General features: G+C 37.8%; 1 protein-coding gene across 40 annotated transcripts in view, besides 3 other annotated features; it reads left to right on the top strand.

Annotated features, from left to right (window-relative positions):
• ATP2B1 (ATPase plasma membrane Ca2+ transporting 1) overlaps nucleotides 1-14,265 on the top strand; it is a 121,318-nt gene that overhangs the window by 982 nt on the left and 106,071 nt on the right. Inside the window, exon 1 of one of the 40 annotated variants that reach the window (XM_047428893.1) lies at nucleotides 238-617. The exons of the other annotated variants lie outside the window; for them this stretch is intronic. The gene's annotated coding sequence lies outside the window, so the exon portion shown is untranslated. Of the gene's footprint in view, nucleotides 1-237; nucleotides 618-14,265 lie in introns of those variants that run through there. 40 annotated transcript variants of the gene reach the window in all.
• Nucleotides 49-278: a silencer, noted in NCBI's record as "silent region_4696". NCBI's record gives its function as "represses an Ori minimal core promoter by ATAC-STARR-seq in GM12878 lymphoblastoid cells {active_cell/tissue: GM12878}" and the evidence as "EXISTENCE:reporter gene assay evidence [ECO:0000049][PMID:35858748]".
• Nucleotides 469-568: an enhancer, noted in NCBI's record as "active region_6710". NCBI's record gives its function as "activates an Ori minimal core promoter by ATAC-STARR-seq in GM12878 lymphoblastoid cells {active_cell/tissue: GM12878}" and the evidence as "EXISTENCE:reporter gene assay evidence [ECO:0000049][PMID:35858748]".
• Nucleotides 579-668: an enhancer, noted in NCBI's record as "active region_6709". NCBI's record gives its function as "activates an Ori minimal core promoter by ATAC-STARR-seq in GM12878 lymphoblastoid cells {active_cell/tissue: GM12878}" and the evidence as "EXISTENCE:reporter gene assay evidence [ECO:0000049][PMID:35858748]".

Raw genomic sequence — 14,265 nt, 5'->3', positions numbered from 1 at the left:
CTTCTCGCCGTGCACCTCAGCGCCGGGTCAGTCTGGGAGTCGCTGCTCCGGGCCCGAGGGATGGGGCTTGTTGGGGCTTCTGGTCTACACCCGCAGGTCTTCGGCTTCACGAAGCCGCCTCGGCCGCGCCACAGCCCATCCCGCCACCGGTCGCCCCCGCCACGGCGCGTGGTGACCTTGAGGGCACCGTGCCCGGCACTCCCTCTCCCCGCGCCCCGGGAGGGTCACCCCTCTAATCCTTGGCCTCGGCCCCCCAGACGCACTGCGGGAGGGGAGCGGGGGCCCCTGGTCGGCCCCTGGCCCTGGTGGTTGATTGTTGGCGTGTCAGGACGGTGATTCCTCGGGAGTTGGAGAGCCGCCTGGTCTTTCTCCTCACGCCTTCCGTCTGGCCCCCCAGGATGTTCACAGTTGTTTCCGATTCGTGTTTATTCACTTAGTTTAAGAGAAAAAAGCCTGCGCCCCCACCTCCCTTTTTGAGGAAGGAGTCTGTAGGAGGACCGCGTTCCAGTGGCAGGGGTGTGGGGTGGGGGCTGTGCTCTCTTTATCCCATCCTGCGGGAGAATCCTGTGGCTAAGCTGGTTAGCGACCCCTGGTTCTGCGCCGCGGTCACCAGCCAGGTTGGTCTCTGTGCGCATTTCATTCACCAGTTTTCTGCGGGACTCGCAGCGCTGGGAGTGCTCGCACCCTGTGCGCTGCTTGGCTCGGAGGGGAGGGCAGGGCGTCCGGGTGGGTTAAAGGGGTCTGCAGGTACTTGGAGGGCTCGACCCTCCTCGACAGGCTGATATTTACCTTTTCTTTGGGTTAGAGCGCTGCAGACAGCCACCTTTCGCTTCTGTGCCCGCTACTTTTCTTGGTTTATTAATAATCTAATGGCTTCTGTTGGTATCGATTGCTGTTCGTGATAAATTAGCTACATAGATTTTTTTCATACGTGTGTAGGTATATGCATATATCTGAACTTGTCTGCCTGTCAACATGGAAGCCTTTGTTGTGTTTAACCTCCCCCACCTGAGGACAGTCTTATTTTAAAATAAGGCTTTTGTTCAGCGTGGGTGTATTTTATAATAAGAAGTACTTGTAAGGGCCTGGTTTGTATGAGGCTCTCATCTGGCAGAGGGTGTGTAACCCTTTGGATGGTGGCCCACGTGAGTGAATGGAGGGCCTTCACCACTTGCCCCGATGCCAGCCTTCCCGAGACTCCCTGTCCTTGTGTGTGGCAGGGGTGGATTGGGGGAATTAAGAGGGATTGGAGGAGAATCTGCTTTTTGTACTTGTGCGTTTCATTTGGGTCCTCCTCCTCCCCTCTCTTTTTCTTTATCCTCCTGGTGAGTTCAAATTTGAAGTAAATAGAAACATTTTTTTTTTAATTGGGAACCTTTGATAGCTAGTATATGAAATGGGCTTATTTAGCTATGATTTCAGGAGGACGTTTTAGTTTTTACCTTGCTTTAGATAAGACAGCTAAATTGCTGTAATTAAGGGTGGATCTCTGTCCTGATTTTGGCTTGGGTGTAACTGCAAAGATCTTTGAAAAGTAACTGTTAATTTCCTACCATATAGTCTGCAAAAGTGAGTCACATTCGGGTGAGTTGAGGACAGAGCGCCACCTTTAATTTAAAATTTCGTGATTTTCTTTTATTAAAATGGTGAAAATTCGGGGTACGCCTTCTTGATTTTTATCGCAGCTGTCATTATTGGCATCCCCATTTTGACGTGTAAGGGGGAATTGTCTTCATTTTTCTGTATTCTCTCATTTCTCTTTTGAGAGAAATTTCTGCAATTGTATGGGAAATCTTTTTTTTATTGAAGCTTGGGATTTTAGCATTCTGAGATGAGATGAGAAACTAGTTTTGATTTGTGTTTATAATAATATTGATGGTCTGGATATTCTTGGTAAAAGAAGGAAAGTAATAGCTGCTTTTAATAGGTGGTTTGAACTAGCCATTGCCACCAAATAAAGGTACCTACCAGTATGACAGTGGCTTTACAATTTTTTTTTTTTTTTTAGCTGTAGGCCTATTAACAGATTCTAAAATAAACACGCAGGATCAGATATAGTAATTCTTTTTTGTTGTCTTCCAACAACTTACCTTTTGTGATTTTACTGTTTTACAGTTGCTTGTTCTTAAATAATATAGATGAACACTTCGAGCAGGTGTACTTATATTCAAAGTTTAATAAAGACCATGTTAGAAAAAGTGGTTTGTATACATGGCTCCTCTCAGGTGCATCTCATGTAAAAATAAATGGAGATTTTAATACTTAGAAAAGAGTTACTGTAGTGACAGTTGAGATTTCTTTCCCTTCCCTTCCTTCCCAAATCATAAGTATAAGGAACACTGTCTCTTTAGGCACAGCCTCCTTTTTTGATGTAACATGAGAAAAGGGATTTAGCTCCCAAGTAATGAATTAAGATGTGGATATTATTACATATAGTCTTACTTACAAACCGCAAAATATTACTGCCCTTCTATCTGCATTTAAGGTTTCATTCAACACTTGCAATTTCTCTATAGACAATGTAAAGCATTGGCTATTGAGCTGTAGATAAGTCTTTATTAAACTAAAATTAGCCAAAAACTCTGAGATGAAAGGTGTTTTATCCCCTTACTGCTATGTGTTCTCTGTCGAACTATGGAATATGGCCCCGGGATAAAGGACATTATTTGAGCTATTAGATTGTTGCATGTAGAGTAATTATATGTTGTTATATATACTTTCATAGATTCCTTGATTTCAGAGTAAGATTTACTAATTTCCTTTGACTGACAGACATGTTAACTTCATTTCAGATGCAACAGTCTCTTACCATGGGAAATGAGTTTTAAAAGGAACGGCCACTTATAACTATTGGTCTTCTGTAATATTGAACAAAATAATATTTGGTTTTTTTCCCTTACATTTTACACATGAATACAGTAAAATTGATGTTTTCACTTTTTTATTCTGGAATTTTGTAATGGATGAGCAAAAAACAATAAAAGGACTGAGGATCAGAAAGCAGAAACAAACATTTAGGTTTTTGCATCTCGGGCAAGAGTATTGACCAGATGGAAGGGAATAATTATTTTCTAGTAGCTGTCATGATATGTAATAAAGGTACTAATAGTAGCTTATTTGGGACTAGGTGGAATCTGAGGTGACATTGCCAGGAAAATAACATACAATGGTTATGGGAATAATTTTCATAAAGATAAATAACTTTAAAAAATTCACTTTTTAGCTTTTAGAAATGTTATCTATACATACCACATATATTGTTGTCTTGTTAAAATTTTTTATTATAGAAATTATCAAACATAGGAAAGTAGAGAGAATGATATACTTACTGGCCAGTTTTGACAATTACCAACTCTCGTGGTCCATCACATTTCATTTATATCTTAACACAAGAAATGGTTCTGTTATAAATGGGGACATAGGACAGGTAATCGAATCGAATTTTTGTATTTGTATTTTTCAGAATACGGTATACTCAATAGTGTCCAATATCTAATTAAATCTGAATGGTCAGTTTTTATGTTCTTCGTTGATTCTTTAGTGGCATATACATTTTAATTTTTCTGGTGGTAGTTTGTGTATTTTACAGCAGGTGCCCAAAGATAGTGTCTCTCAAATTTTGCTGTCTTCAGAAATCACAGGTATTATTATTAACTACTTTACAGTTTTCAGAATGTATTTACATATGACCTCATTTGATTCTCACAATAATCCTGTGTGGTGAGTAAGGCAGACAATTGTACTTTTTTTTGTTTTTTGTTTTTTGTTTTTTTTCTGGTAGGCAAAGTGATTTGTCTAGGCCCTAAGGTCATATAGCTAGCAGCTTTTTTAGCCCAAACTGGACTTTAGGTGGCTTCTAGATTTTGCTCATTGCTCTTCTCATTATACACGTTTATGTAAGTTTATGAAAGTTATGTATGGAAAATCAGTTTTGATCAGAGTAAATTTAATAGAGAAATATGAATGGGTTTGTTTGGGTTGAGCTTTATAAATTTAATCATTACTTATATTTGGTGTAATACAAACAGTTTGTGTTTTGATTTACTTAACAGCTGAGTGAATGTGAACGTATCTGAAATACTATATTTTTAATATTGTGGATTTTTTTAAGTTAGGAATTTTGATTTCAAAGAACTGTTGGCCTAGGGGTGTCTTAAATCTTGAATAAAAATAAAATGTGCTGTACTAAAAGTTTCTTCTTTAAATTTCTGCTGTAACTTTTTATGCACTTGTTTTTATACTATAACATGTTTATTACCTAAATCTCTTTGAAATATTCATTTGTTCTGTAATGAAATTTAGTTTAAAAGGTTCCAAATGAGGAGGTTTTAGTTCCTGAAATCCAAAACCTGGTTATAAATCTCACAAGAAAGGTGTGGTTCTCCAGCATTAATGTGCATGAAGAATCACCTGGGGGAGTTACTGAAAGTGCAGATTCCTTGGCATTGCCCCTGGAATTTTGATTCAGCAGATTTGAGGTGGGGCCAAATGCTACAGTAGTCTGCATTTTGAGAAACATTGACATTGCATTTATAACTAAGTTAAAGTTACATGGTAGAGATACCTAAATCAGTAGCAAAGTTTGATTTGTTGATGTCGATGGTTTTTGTGACAATCCTAGAACTGATAAATTGAAAATATTTCTGTTATCTATGTATGCCCAGTCTTTCAGAAGATCCATCTGTGGTTACTTAAGTTACTTATTAAGCACTGTAAACTATTAGAGAATGTTCTTTTATTTTCATGTCTTAATGTCTGCCATTTTCAAATGACTTAGACACCAGAGTTTATATTCATAAAAATAATGCATGCTGTATCCTTACAGTAGTGTGTGTTTATCCTTTAGTCTAGCTCTTTGTTAGAAGAAAAGATCGGATATTCCTTCAGACTAAAAGGACATAAGTTAGTGGATAGATAGCTCTCTTTAATTTTAGTTAACAAGCAGTTGCTCTTTCAAAAACAGCAAGTAGATCTTCCAAGAATATTAGTGATAGCATACTAATTGATAATTTACTATTTTATGCATTAAAACAGAAGTTACTGCTGTCTCACTTAAATGTTAAATAACCGTTTGTGTAGTTCACCAATCTACTCTGACTTTTGGAACTATTTTATCTAATACCATATCCACGTGAATTACCTGCCTTTAATAATTTTCCTCTTTAAGACCAGTTTTGAAATGCAGTTGTTTTTTGCTTCATTTATAACAGTATAGCAAATAGCCTGTATCTGCATTTAAAATATATTTTATAATAAAATTAATTTCAAAGCAGGTTCATCTCAAGACTGTTGGGAACCTGTTTTTGTTTGTTCCAAAACTTAGTCTTGTTGGCTACACCTTAAGGTTTATTTAGGAATCATAGCTTGTAATTTACTAAAGCTTATGGTAATCTAAATTAATAAATATTTTTGGCAGAGAGGTCCAAATAAACTGTGGGCACATTTTTTTTTGCCATATTTTTAAAAGCTATTTTCTATTAAATTTTTCCTAGGACAGTGTCAGCTATTCCAAATCGTATGTGGTGTTTTTAGTTATAAGAATATTTGGTATTTCTAAGTACAGTGACTTCCAACAATATGGTTTCTTAAAATATGGGATACCTGCTTTTGTAGTAATACTACTGTCACCTGGGCCTCTGAGGGAACAAATAAAGGTAGTGTTGAATGGACCAATGCTTGCTTACACTGTGAAATCTGAGATTACACTGCCTAACTGTAAACTGGCATGACTACTGTACAGACCTGATAAATTTAGGAGTCAAATTTATGTTTTCTGAAAAAAATAGGTCTTAAAGAAGATTTGACTGTTTAACTTGAAAGATGCTTTTTAAATACTTTTTTATTAACAATGTGGATCTATTATTCATTGTATTAACCCTGTGAGTGAGTTCTCTCTCAGGAGGATTTTAAATAATAATCTTGTACTCTCAAAACTCTCAGATCTGCTGCTTTAATCTACCTTTCATATTTGTGCCAGAATTTTCTTTTGTTTTTCAATAACCTATTTTAAACCACAGTTTCTTCACTAAAACTTTCATCTTTTTTTTATTTTTCTCTTTATCAAAATACAACTTGACTCTGAAGGCCTTTTATAAAGTAGCTCAGTGTTTTCTAAATTGTGTTTTAGAATGCTGGTTCCAAAAAATATTAATAGGGATTTCCTGGGGGAAAGAGGCACAACCAAACTCCAGGATATGCTGGTTTATGCAGTTTGGAACTTCTCTGGTACTTCAAGGTGCTAATAAGGGCTGAATCTAAATGTGGCTAGTGTTTTGTCCTCTCATTTCACAAAACTCCCTTTAGTGGAACATCTCACCTTGTTAACTTTGTGTACCAGGATCACTGCTTTGCACAACTCCAGGGGATGCTGTTCACATACAACACAAAATGAATTGTGTTTCCTGGAGTTGAGAGCTGTGTTGCATACTGTAGTATTGCTGACTGTCCACTGTGTGACGGTCTTAGAGTCTGGTGGTCCCTCATCCTTTTGTTGTGAATGTGTATGTGTTTTTCCTCTCACCTGATAGGACCCTTAGGGGCCAGATGCTGTGCTTGATGCCTATAAGTCCTAGCACTTTGGGAGGCTGAGGCAGGAGGTTCGCTTGAGGCCAGGAGTTCGAGGCTGCCTGGGTGACACAGCAAAGAACCTGTTTACCAAACAAAAAAACCAAATTAACTGCCACATTGAAATTCAGAAGTGGAAAAGTCCTGCCTGTAGAGAAGCTAAATTCTACTGTCCTAGTAACATTCTGTGAAATGTATGTAGCTATCTTCCAGAAATAAAACATTGCCTTATGAACCCATCTGAGTAAGGTTAAAATTCCAAAGGTAAAAAGGTTTTAAAAATCTCCCAGAAAAATTTCCTTAACCTTCTCTGCTTTACTTTAACAGAAGCTACACAATGTCTAAATCCTAAACCAATATGCCAAAAAAAATAGTACCTGAACATTTGCTGGATAAAGTTCTATATATCGTGATATAGAACCCTATATCTTATCTCAGTTCTTTTATGTTATCTCCAAATGAATTACTAAGACAAAGGGATAATAAATGGGAAGTGTACAACCCGGAGGACTTCAGACCAGAAAATCAAAGAGAGATGATGGGAAAGGGTGGAGTAATGCTGAGTTTTGAAGAATGGGCACATTTAGACAGACCAAAGACTGAGCATCATATCATTGCTGCCGTTCCATGAACTGAGAGCAAACTGTTAGATCATGACCTGCTACAGAATCACTAGGCATCAGGAAGAAGAGTAGGTATATGGTCTGTATTAGAGTATAGCAATGGATTATTCTTCCAGCTGCCAAGAAGTCAAGAAGGAAAGCCTGTATTTGACTTTATCATTTCTATTGAATGTCTGAGTGATACATAGAGTAGTAATTTTAGACATTTAAGTAACTAAAGATTTATATAGCTTTAGTATGTAAGCTGTTATATTTAAAAATGCTTGAAAAAATAAGAGTTGTTCTCCAGAAATTATTCATTTTCCTATGATTAGCACAGCTGAGACCTTACAGGTGCACTGCTATTGAGTATTCTCCCAACCTTTTAAATTTTATAGGTCTAATTGTTGGTAAGGTATTGTGGAAGGAGTTCTAAGACTTGCTCCTGCTTTAATTGACGTTGCAATAATAATCATAATAAAATTGTTGGTCAAAGAGTAGCACAGGAGTGGTTTTGGTAGTGAAGAAAATAAAAAGAAATCTGAAGGTAGAGATGAATGGAATCAGCAAAAGTGAAATTGGTTAGATTAGTAAGTTGTTTTTCTACTGGGACACTCATGGATGATACTGACATATACTCCATTCTCCCTTGCTAATATCTAGATTTTTTTAGTACCTCTAATACTAAGAGATTTTTAATTTCTTTGCTATACTTCTGTCCTTTTCTTCTCTATTCATGCTCAAAAGAAAGTAAGTGCTATAACTACTCTTTTTTGTTTGCTTAAAAAATGACTCATGAACTTAAGGTACTTAAGTGTGGACACTCCTGACAACTAATACCATAGCGGAGAACTACTGAGTTAAAGGGTACCAGTGCAAATAGAGGGCTGAAAACAAGGAAGGTCAGTCAGTGAATGGGAAAGAAATATGACAAAGCCTAGGAAAGGGAGCTCCTCTAGCATCAAACTGTCTGCATGTCGAGTCTCAGAAAAACAAGGATTCGTCAGTCAACCCCTTTCTGCATGCACAGTGGATTTAGGGTAAAGTTTATGTTACCCTGTCTTTGGCCGAGCGCAGTGGCTCCTGCCTGTAATCCCAGCCCTTTGGGAGACTGAAGCAGGAGGATTGCTTGACCACAGGAGTCTGAGACCAGCCTGGGCAACATGACAAAACCTCATCTCTACTAAAAAAAAAAAAAAAAAAAAATTTAGCCAGGCATGGTGTCGTGTACCTGTAGTCCTAGCTACTTGGGAGGCTGAGGTAGGAGGATCGCTTGATTCTAGGAGGTAGAGGTTGCAGTGAACTGAGATTGTGCCACAGCACTACAGCCTGGGCGACAGAGGGAGACCGTCTCTGTCTCAAAAAATAGATGACCCTGCCTTTGAGCTTAAGCACTACTGTTTTTATGTACATAATTTAATGCTGGAACTTGATCACCTCCGGCCCTCCTGCTGACAGCATTTCTTTTGCTAGAAATACCCACCTTTCTCAGAGCCTGTGTCTCCTTTGGTTTTGGTTTTTACTCCATGATATGTTAAGGACTCACCAGATTTAAATGTGAAATTTATCTTCACCACTAAAAAGCCCACTTGTCTTGGATAAATCACTTGGTTTCTTTAACTCCTCAAAAAGTACAAAGTCAGGGGGTTTTGATTTTTCTCTCTTGAAAATTTGGCTTTTAACAAAATTTGTATAGCAAAAACAGGTTACCCGCTCCCCCCAAACTTTCAACCATTTATTTCTTTATTCTGTTAGGTTTGCCTTCCAATTTTGTCTTTTAACTACTTTGTCATCATTTTGACGTTTCGTCTGTGATACACCGTGTTTGATTTATGAAGATAAATACATTTATTGAAAAGCTAAATTATCTAAGATTTCAGTTAAACAAGTGGCATATTACTAGCATTTAACTCTGCCTCTTGCCAAACATATACTAAAATGAGAATAAGGGAATTCTTTTTTAAAAAAGCCATAAATCCACAAGGGAGAAGAGAAACCCACACCAAAATTTTAGAAGGCGTTGACTTAGTAGACTTAAAAAGCTGATCTCTAAGTAATAGAAAAGCCCAGAAACAAGTCAGTTTATAGAATTCCCTGAGAGCTCAAAGCTGGGAAAACATGGGACCCATGGTGAAGAGGGGACAGGGGGGCAAAACGGGAGAACTGGTTGAAATTTTAGGAATTTGATACCCAGATATCTTTCCCTCTGTCTGTACTCTGTGATCTCTTTTCCTTCATCCTTGCAGAAGGCTGGAAGCTTGCTTTCTGGAGAAGGCTATGCACACTGGGAATACAGTTGAAAACCAGGGTACCACACTCAAAACCGAGTGTTTACCTATTTATGTTAAGATCACCAGTCTTCTTCCCTCACCCAGCTTTCAGAATTCTGGCCAGAATAGAAGTGTCTTATCTAACCTGACCAGCTCAAGGTAAAAGACCTCAAGAATCGGACATTGGCTGTGTCTGTGTCTCCAAAGAAAATGTCCCAGTCAGCTCACCCTACTGTGAAACCCATATTGAATCCAGAACTTCTATTTAGTTTGTGTCCTTTTTTTCTCATAAACAAATTTGTTATAGTCTTACTAAGATATAATTGGCATAGAATAAACTTTACACTTAAAGTGAAAAACTTGAGTTCTGAGGCATGTATATATTTCCACAGTCGCCACCACAGTCAGGTAATCATTCCCCTAAATTTTTTGTGCCTCCTTATCTTCCTTCCCTTCCCCTACCCCAGCTCCTCCTTTCCTCAGGCAGCCCCGATCTGCTTTCTGTCGCTATAGAATAATTTGACTTTTCTGGAATTTTATGTACATGGAATCATACAGTATGTGTTCTTTTTTGGTCTGACATTCACTCACCATAATTGAGTTTCATCCATGTTGTGTATATTAGTAGTTCTTGTTATTGCTGATGAGGATTCACTGTATAGATACACCACAATTTGTCCGTTCGCCTGTTGATGGACATTTTGGTTCCAGTAACATACAGTCTCTTCCTATTATCGAGTTGTAATTTCTTTATATGTTCTTGATAAAAGTACTTTAGGAAGCATTTGTGTTTGTGCTGGGGATGGGAAGAAGAATGGTGATAAAAGATATGAGTGGATCACTTGAGGTCAGGAGTTCGAGACCAGCCTGGCCAAAATGGTGAAACCCCGTCTTTACTAAAAATACAAAAATTAGCCGGGCGTAGTGGCATGGGCCTGTAATCCCCACTACTAGAGGCTGAGGCAGGAGAATTGTTTGAGCCCAGGAGGCGGAGGTAGTGAGCTGAGATCGTGCCACTGCACTCCAGCCTGGACAACAGAGCGAGACTCCATCTCGGCAGGTGGGGGAAAGATATATATGAAGCCTGTAACTGAAAAAGCAAGCGGTAGCTTTGTAAGCATTATTTGTGGAGATGAAGGATTTGAGGGTACTTTTCCTAGTTGCTTCAGAGTAGAAAATGGGATGGGGGACTAAGAGGACTGCTGATATTTGAAAAAACGGTGGGGGTGGGGAGGAACTAAGAGGACTGCTAATATTTAAAAAAAAAAAAAAAAAAAAGCCTTTTGGATTTGTTTTCCTAAACAGACTTTATGCATGTATAAGTTTGTCAAAACTGAAAATGAATACATGTATGAAATAAGTTTAAATGTGTGGATAACCCAGATATGTCATCTGTCATTCATCTCCTGTGTCTTTGTACAGTCTTGTGCAATTTAGATACACAACTCAATTTTACTTTGGGTAAAATAATCCATTTTTACAAAAGCAGAAGTGAGCAATGTGGACATGAAGGAACATTTCTTTAGTGAAGACAGTCTATGGATAACTCAAGAGTCCCCTTCCTTAATTTCTCCCTCCAGTCATCCTCTACTTTGCAAATCCAGATTCCTCATTTCTTTATTATATAGAACAATTGATTGCCTTATTTGGTTTCTTGAGTCTTCCCCTGAGATTCTGACCCGCCATACCCCAAGCTCATAAAGACATATAAAGACATTTTTTCCAAATAATTACATATAGCCCACTGCCTGATAAGAGTCTGGTGTATGATTTCTGTTTCTTCATCTGGATAAGGCCAAATTCCATTCCACTCATTAAATTTCTGTCTTCCTATTAAGGAACTTGATATTTGAATTACTTCTTGCTTTTTTTTTTTTTTTTTTTGAAGGAAGTAGAATCTCGGGAAAACAGCAGTCATTTCTTAAGAGATGTTAGAATTTAGAGGGTGAAAAAAAAAACAAAACTAATGTTCTTTTGTTAACATGCCATGAAAAACAGACTAGCTCCAAAACACACTAGTTACTTTGACTAAAGGGAATGTATGATTATTGAATAAAATGAACACCTGTGTAGCTGCCTTCTACCTGCTGGTACTGTTCAAAGCAATTTACACATATTAACCCATTTAAATGAGTGGGTTCTGTGTAATATATGGATGAGATATTCTCTATAGAAAGAGATGAAAAGGGCTATGAATAGTTTTAAAGGGCTATGAATACCCTAAAATACAGTGACTTACATAACCTTTTTACCAGTTAGAAATGTAACACTATATAATGTTTGGAAAATAGGACAATGTAAAGTGAAACAAATCACTCATAATCCTCCGTCTGAGAAATAGCTAGTTTTAACACTTTAATGGTTTTTATCTTTTGAAAAACTTACCTATTAACATCCTTCAGATAATGTAGGTATAATTATGTGCTTTTTAGAAACTTTGTATTATTTTCTCATGTCATTAAATTTTTTCATTAACAACATTTTAATAATGTTGTATCCTATGGCTAGTCCCTTGTTATTGGATGTTTTGATTTTAATTCTTTTCTGTTAAATAATCTTCCAGTGAGCATCTTTATTTGCATATGTTTGTCTTCATTTATGATTGTTTCTCTGTATTTACTGTATTTAAAGGATTTTGGTAGTTTGTGGTCTTATGACTAAAATTTTCTTCCAGTCTCCTTTCTCTGAGGCTGGTCAGATTTTGGGGAGTCTGTCTTTTCTTGCTGTGTCTATAGTATGTCCCACTCATTTCCAGGTCTCTGCTTTACTTTTCCAAATTTCCATAGCACTTTTAAGAATTCATATTTTGTTGTTCACATGTTTGACACTTCCGTGACATGTTCAGTTTGGGAGCAGGAACTGTGCATCTTTCTGTCACTCACCCTTGGCACAATGCCCTGTTTATACCTGTGAGGTTGTTAATGATTCTTGAATGAGCCTCTTGTGTCTGGTCTTGAGCTTGAATCCACTGACACTGGACTTCTGCATCTTATAGAAACTGTAGTGTGCTTGGGGTGAGAATTTATCACAGATACTGTTTCTTTTAAATTTGAGCTGAATGATATGTCAGGTAAATGACACAAAGATTGGAAATATTTTCTTATAACTATGTTATATAAATTTAATTTTTTGTGAAACAAGAATTTTACTATCCCTGCTTCTAAAGAGCAGGATAGACTTTACTAAATAGAATAGAATACTAAGAAGCAGCCAATGGAAATGGGTATTACTATTTAAAAATGCCAGTGAGTAGATGTTTTTGTAAAATGTTGCTTAATAGATTAATGTATCTATCTTTTTTTTTAATAGAGGAGAAAACTTCAGAAGTTTGACATCTAAACTTAAATACAACTACAGCTAAAGAGTTAGTCCAAAAAAGTTAAGTTTCAGTATTGTAAACGAGGTAAAACTAGGGAAATTTAAAGGTGTCTTGGCAGGCTCTTTCTGTGACATCATATATGAATTTTTTTCTTTTTTTTAATTCTCATTTCAAGTAGAAAATTTCAGATTTGAGATAAATATTTTCTTTTAAAAAATATTTATATGATTGCTAGGGTAGACCGTAACAACTGTGACCTGCTGAGAGGAGAGACTGTTATGTAGAGCTTTAAGTCAGCCTTGCTCAGTGTGTCTGGTGTTCCTTCTTGGTTTCCTTTTTTGTGCAGTGATTCATCAGGTGCTGTATGCTTCCAGAACCAGTGTAAGTGTGTGCACATGTCCCATTCCTGGTCTGTGATCTCTTCTATAATGAATAGGGGTATATTGTTTCCAGCTATTCTTATACAAGTAAAGAAGAAAAGCGTTCTAGAATCTGCTGTCAAACCTTCAGACTTCAGTAGTTTTGCTACCATTGTATCCTATTCTTATAATTCTTTTCTTTTTTTTTTTTTGAAACAGCATCTTGCTCTTGTCGCCCAGGCTGGAGTGCAATGGCACGATCATGGCTCACTGCAGACTCGATCTCTCTGGGCTTAGGTGATCCTCCCACCTTAGCCTCCCGGGTAGCTGGGACTATAGGCATGTGCCACCATGCTCGGCTAATTTTTGTACTTTTTGTAGAGATAGGGTTTCGCCATGTTGCCCAGGCTGGTCTCAAACTCCTGGGCTCAAGCAATTCCCCTTCCTCGGCCTCACAAAGTGCTGGGATTACAGGCGTGAGCCACTGCGCCTGGCCAGTTCTTAGAATTCTTGATGGTGATCTCTGGCCTTCTGTCACAATTACATTTGGAGGGTTTTCTAAGTTGTGCTGAGCTCTGTTTGTACTTCTGCACACAGCCTAGGTAGCAAGCCAGGCTATCAGTTTTTCATAATGTTGGACTTGCTCCTCCTGTCTCCCTTCCTGAAGTATACCTGTGGCCCTAGATTTAAATTAAATGTTTCCACAAGTGGGAACTGTATTGGTTGAAGGCCTTATTTCCGAGTGGAGGGAAAGCTCTTTTGAGCAGATTCTTTGGCCATGCCCCTTCAATGTATTTGATACCAGGTAACCCCCCCATAAGCAGATACCCTAAGGAGTTGAAAGGAGGAAACTTTGAGTGGTTTGGGGGATGTTGAGAGATTATAGTTTAATCTAGATCTGCACATGCACAGAAGGAGTTTGAGGTTGTCATTAAAAGTCATAGATTATAGTGGCATTGGGGATTTTTTAAAATTAAGGTGACAGCTGTAAGTGGGATATGAGAGGGAGAGAGAATAGGACAGATTATGTAGTTGAATATAACTTTTTTATATCTAGTTAGTAGATACACATCTTTCTCTATATATATGTATTTGAACATTCAGTGCAAGTGTTTCTTTTGGCTACTCAAGTAATAATTACTTAGAATAGT

This window comes from Homo sapiens, chromosome 12, assembly GCF_000001405.40.
Source record: "Homo sapiens chromosome 12, GRCh38.p14 Primary Assembly".
In the NCBI taxonomy this organism is placed as follows: domain Eukaryota; kingdom Metazoa; phylum Chordata; class Mammalia; order Primates; family Hominidae; genus Homo; species Homo sapiens.
The sequence above is the reverse complement of the archived record's forward strand: the minus strand, read 5'-3'. Positions and strand labels throughout refer to the sequence as shown.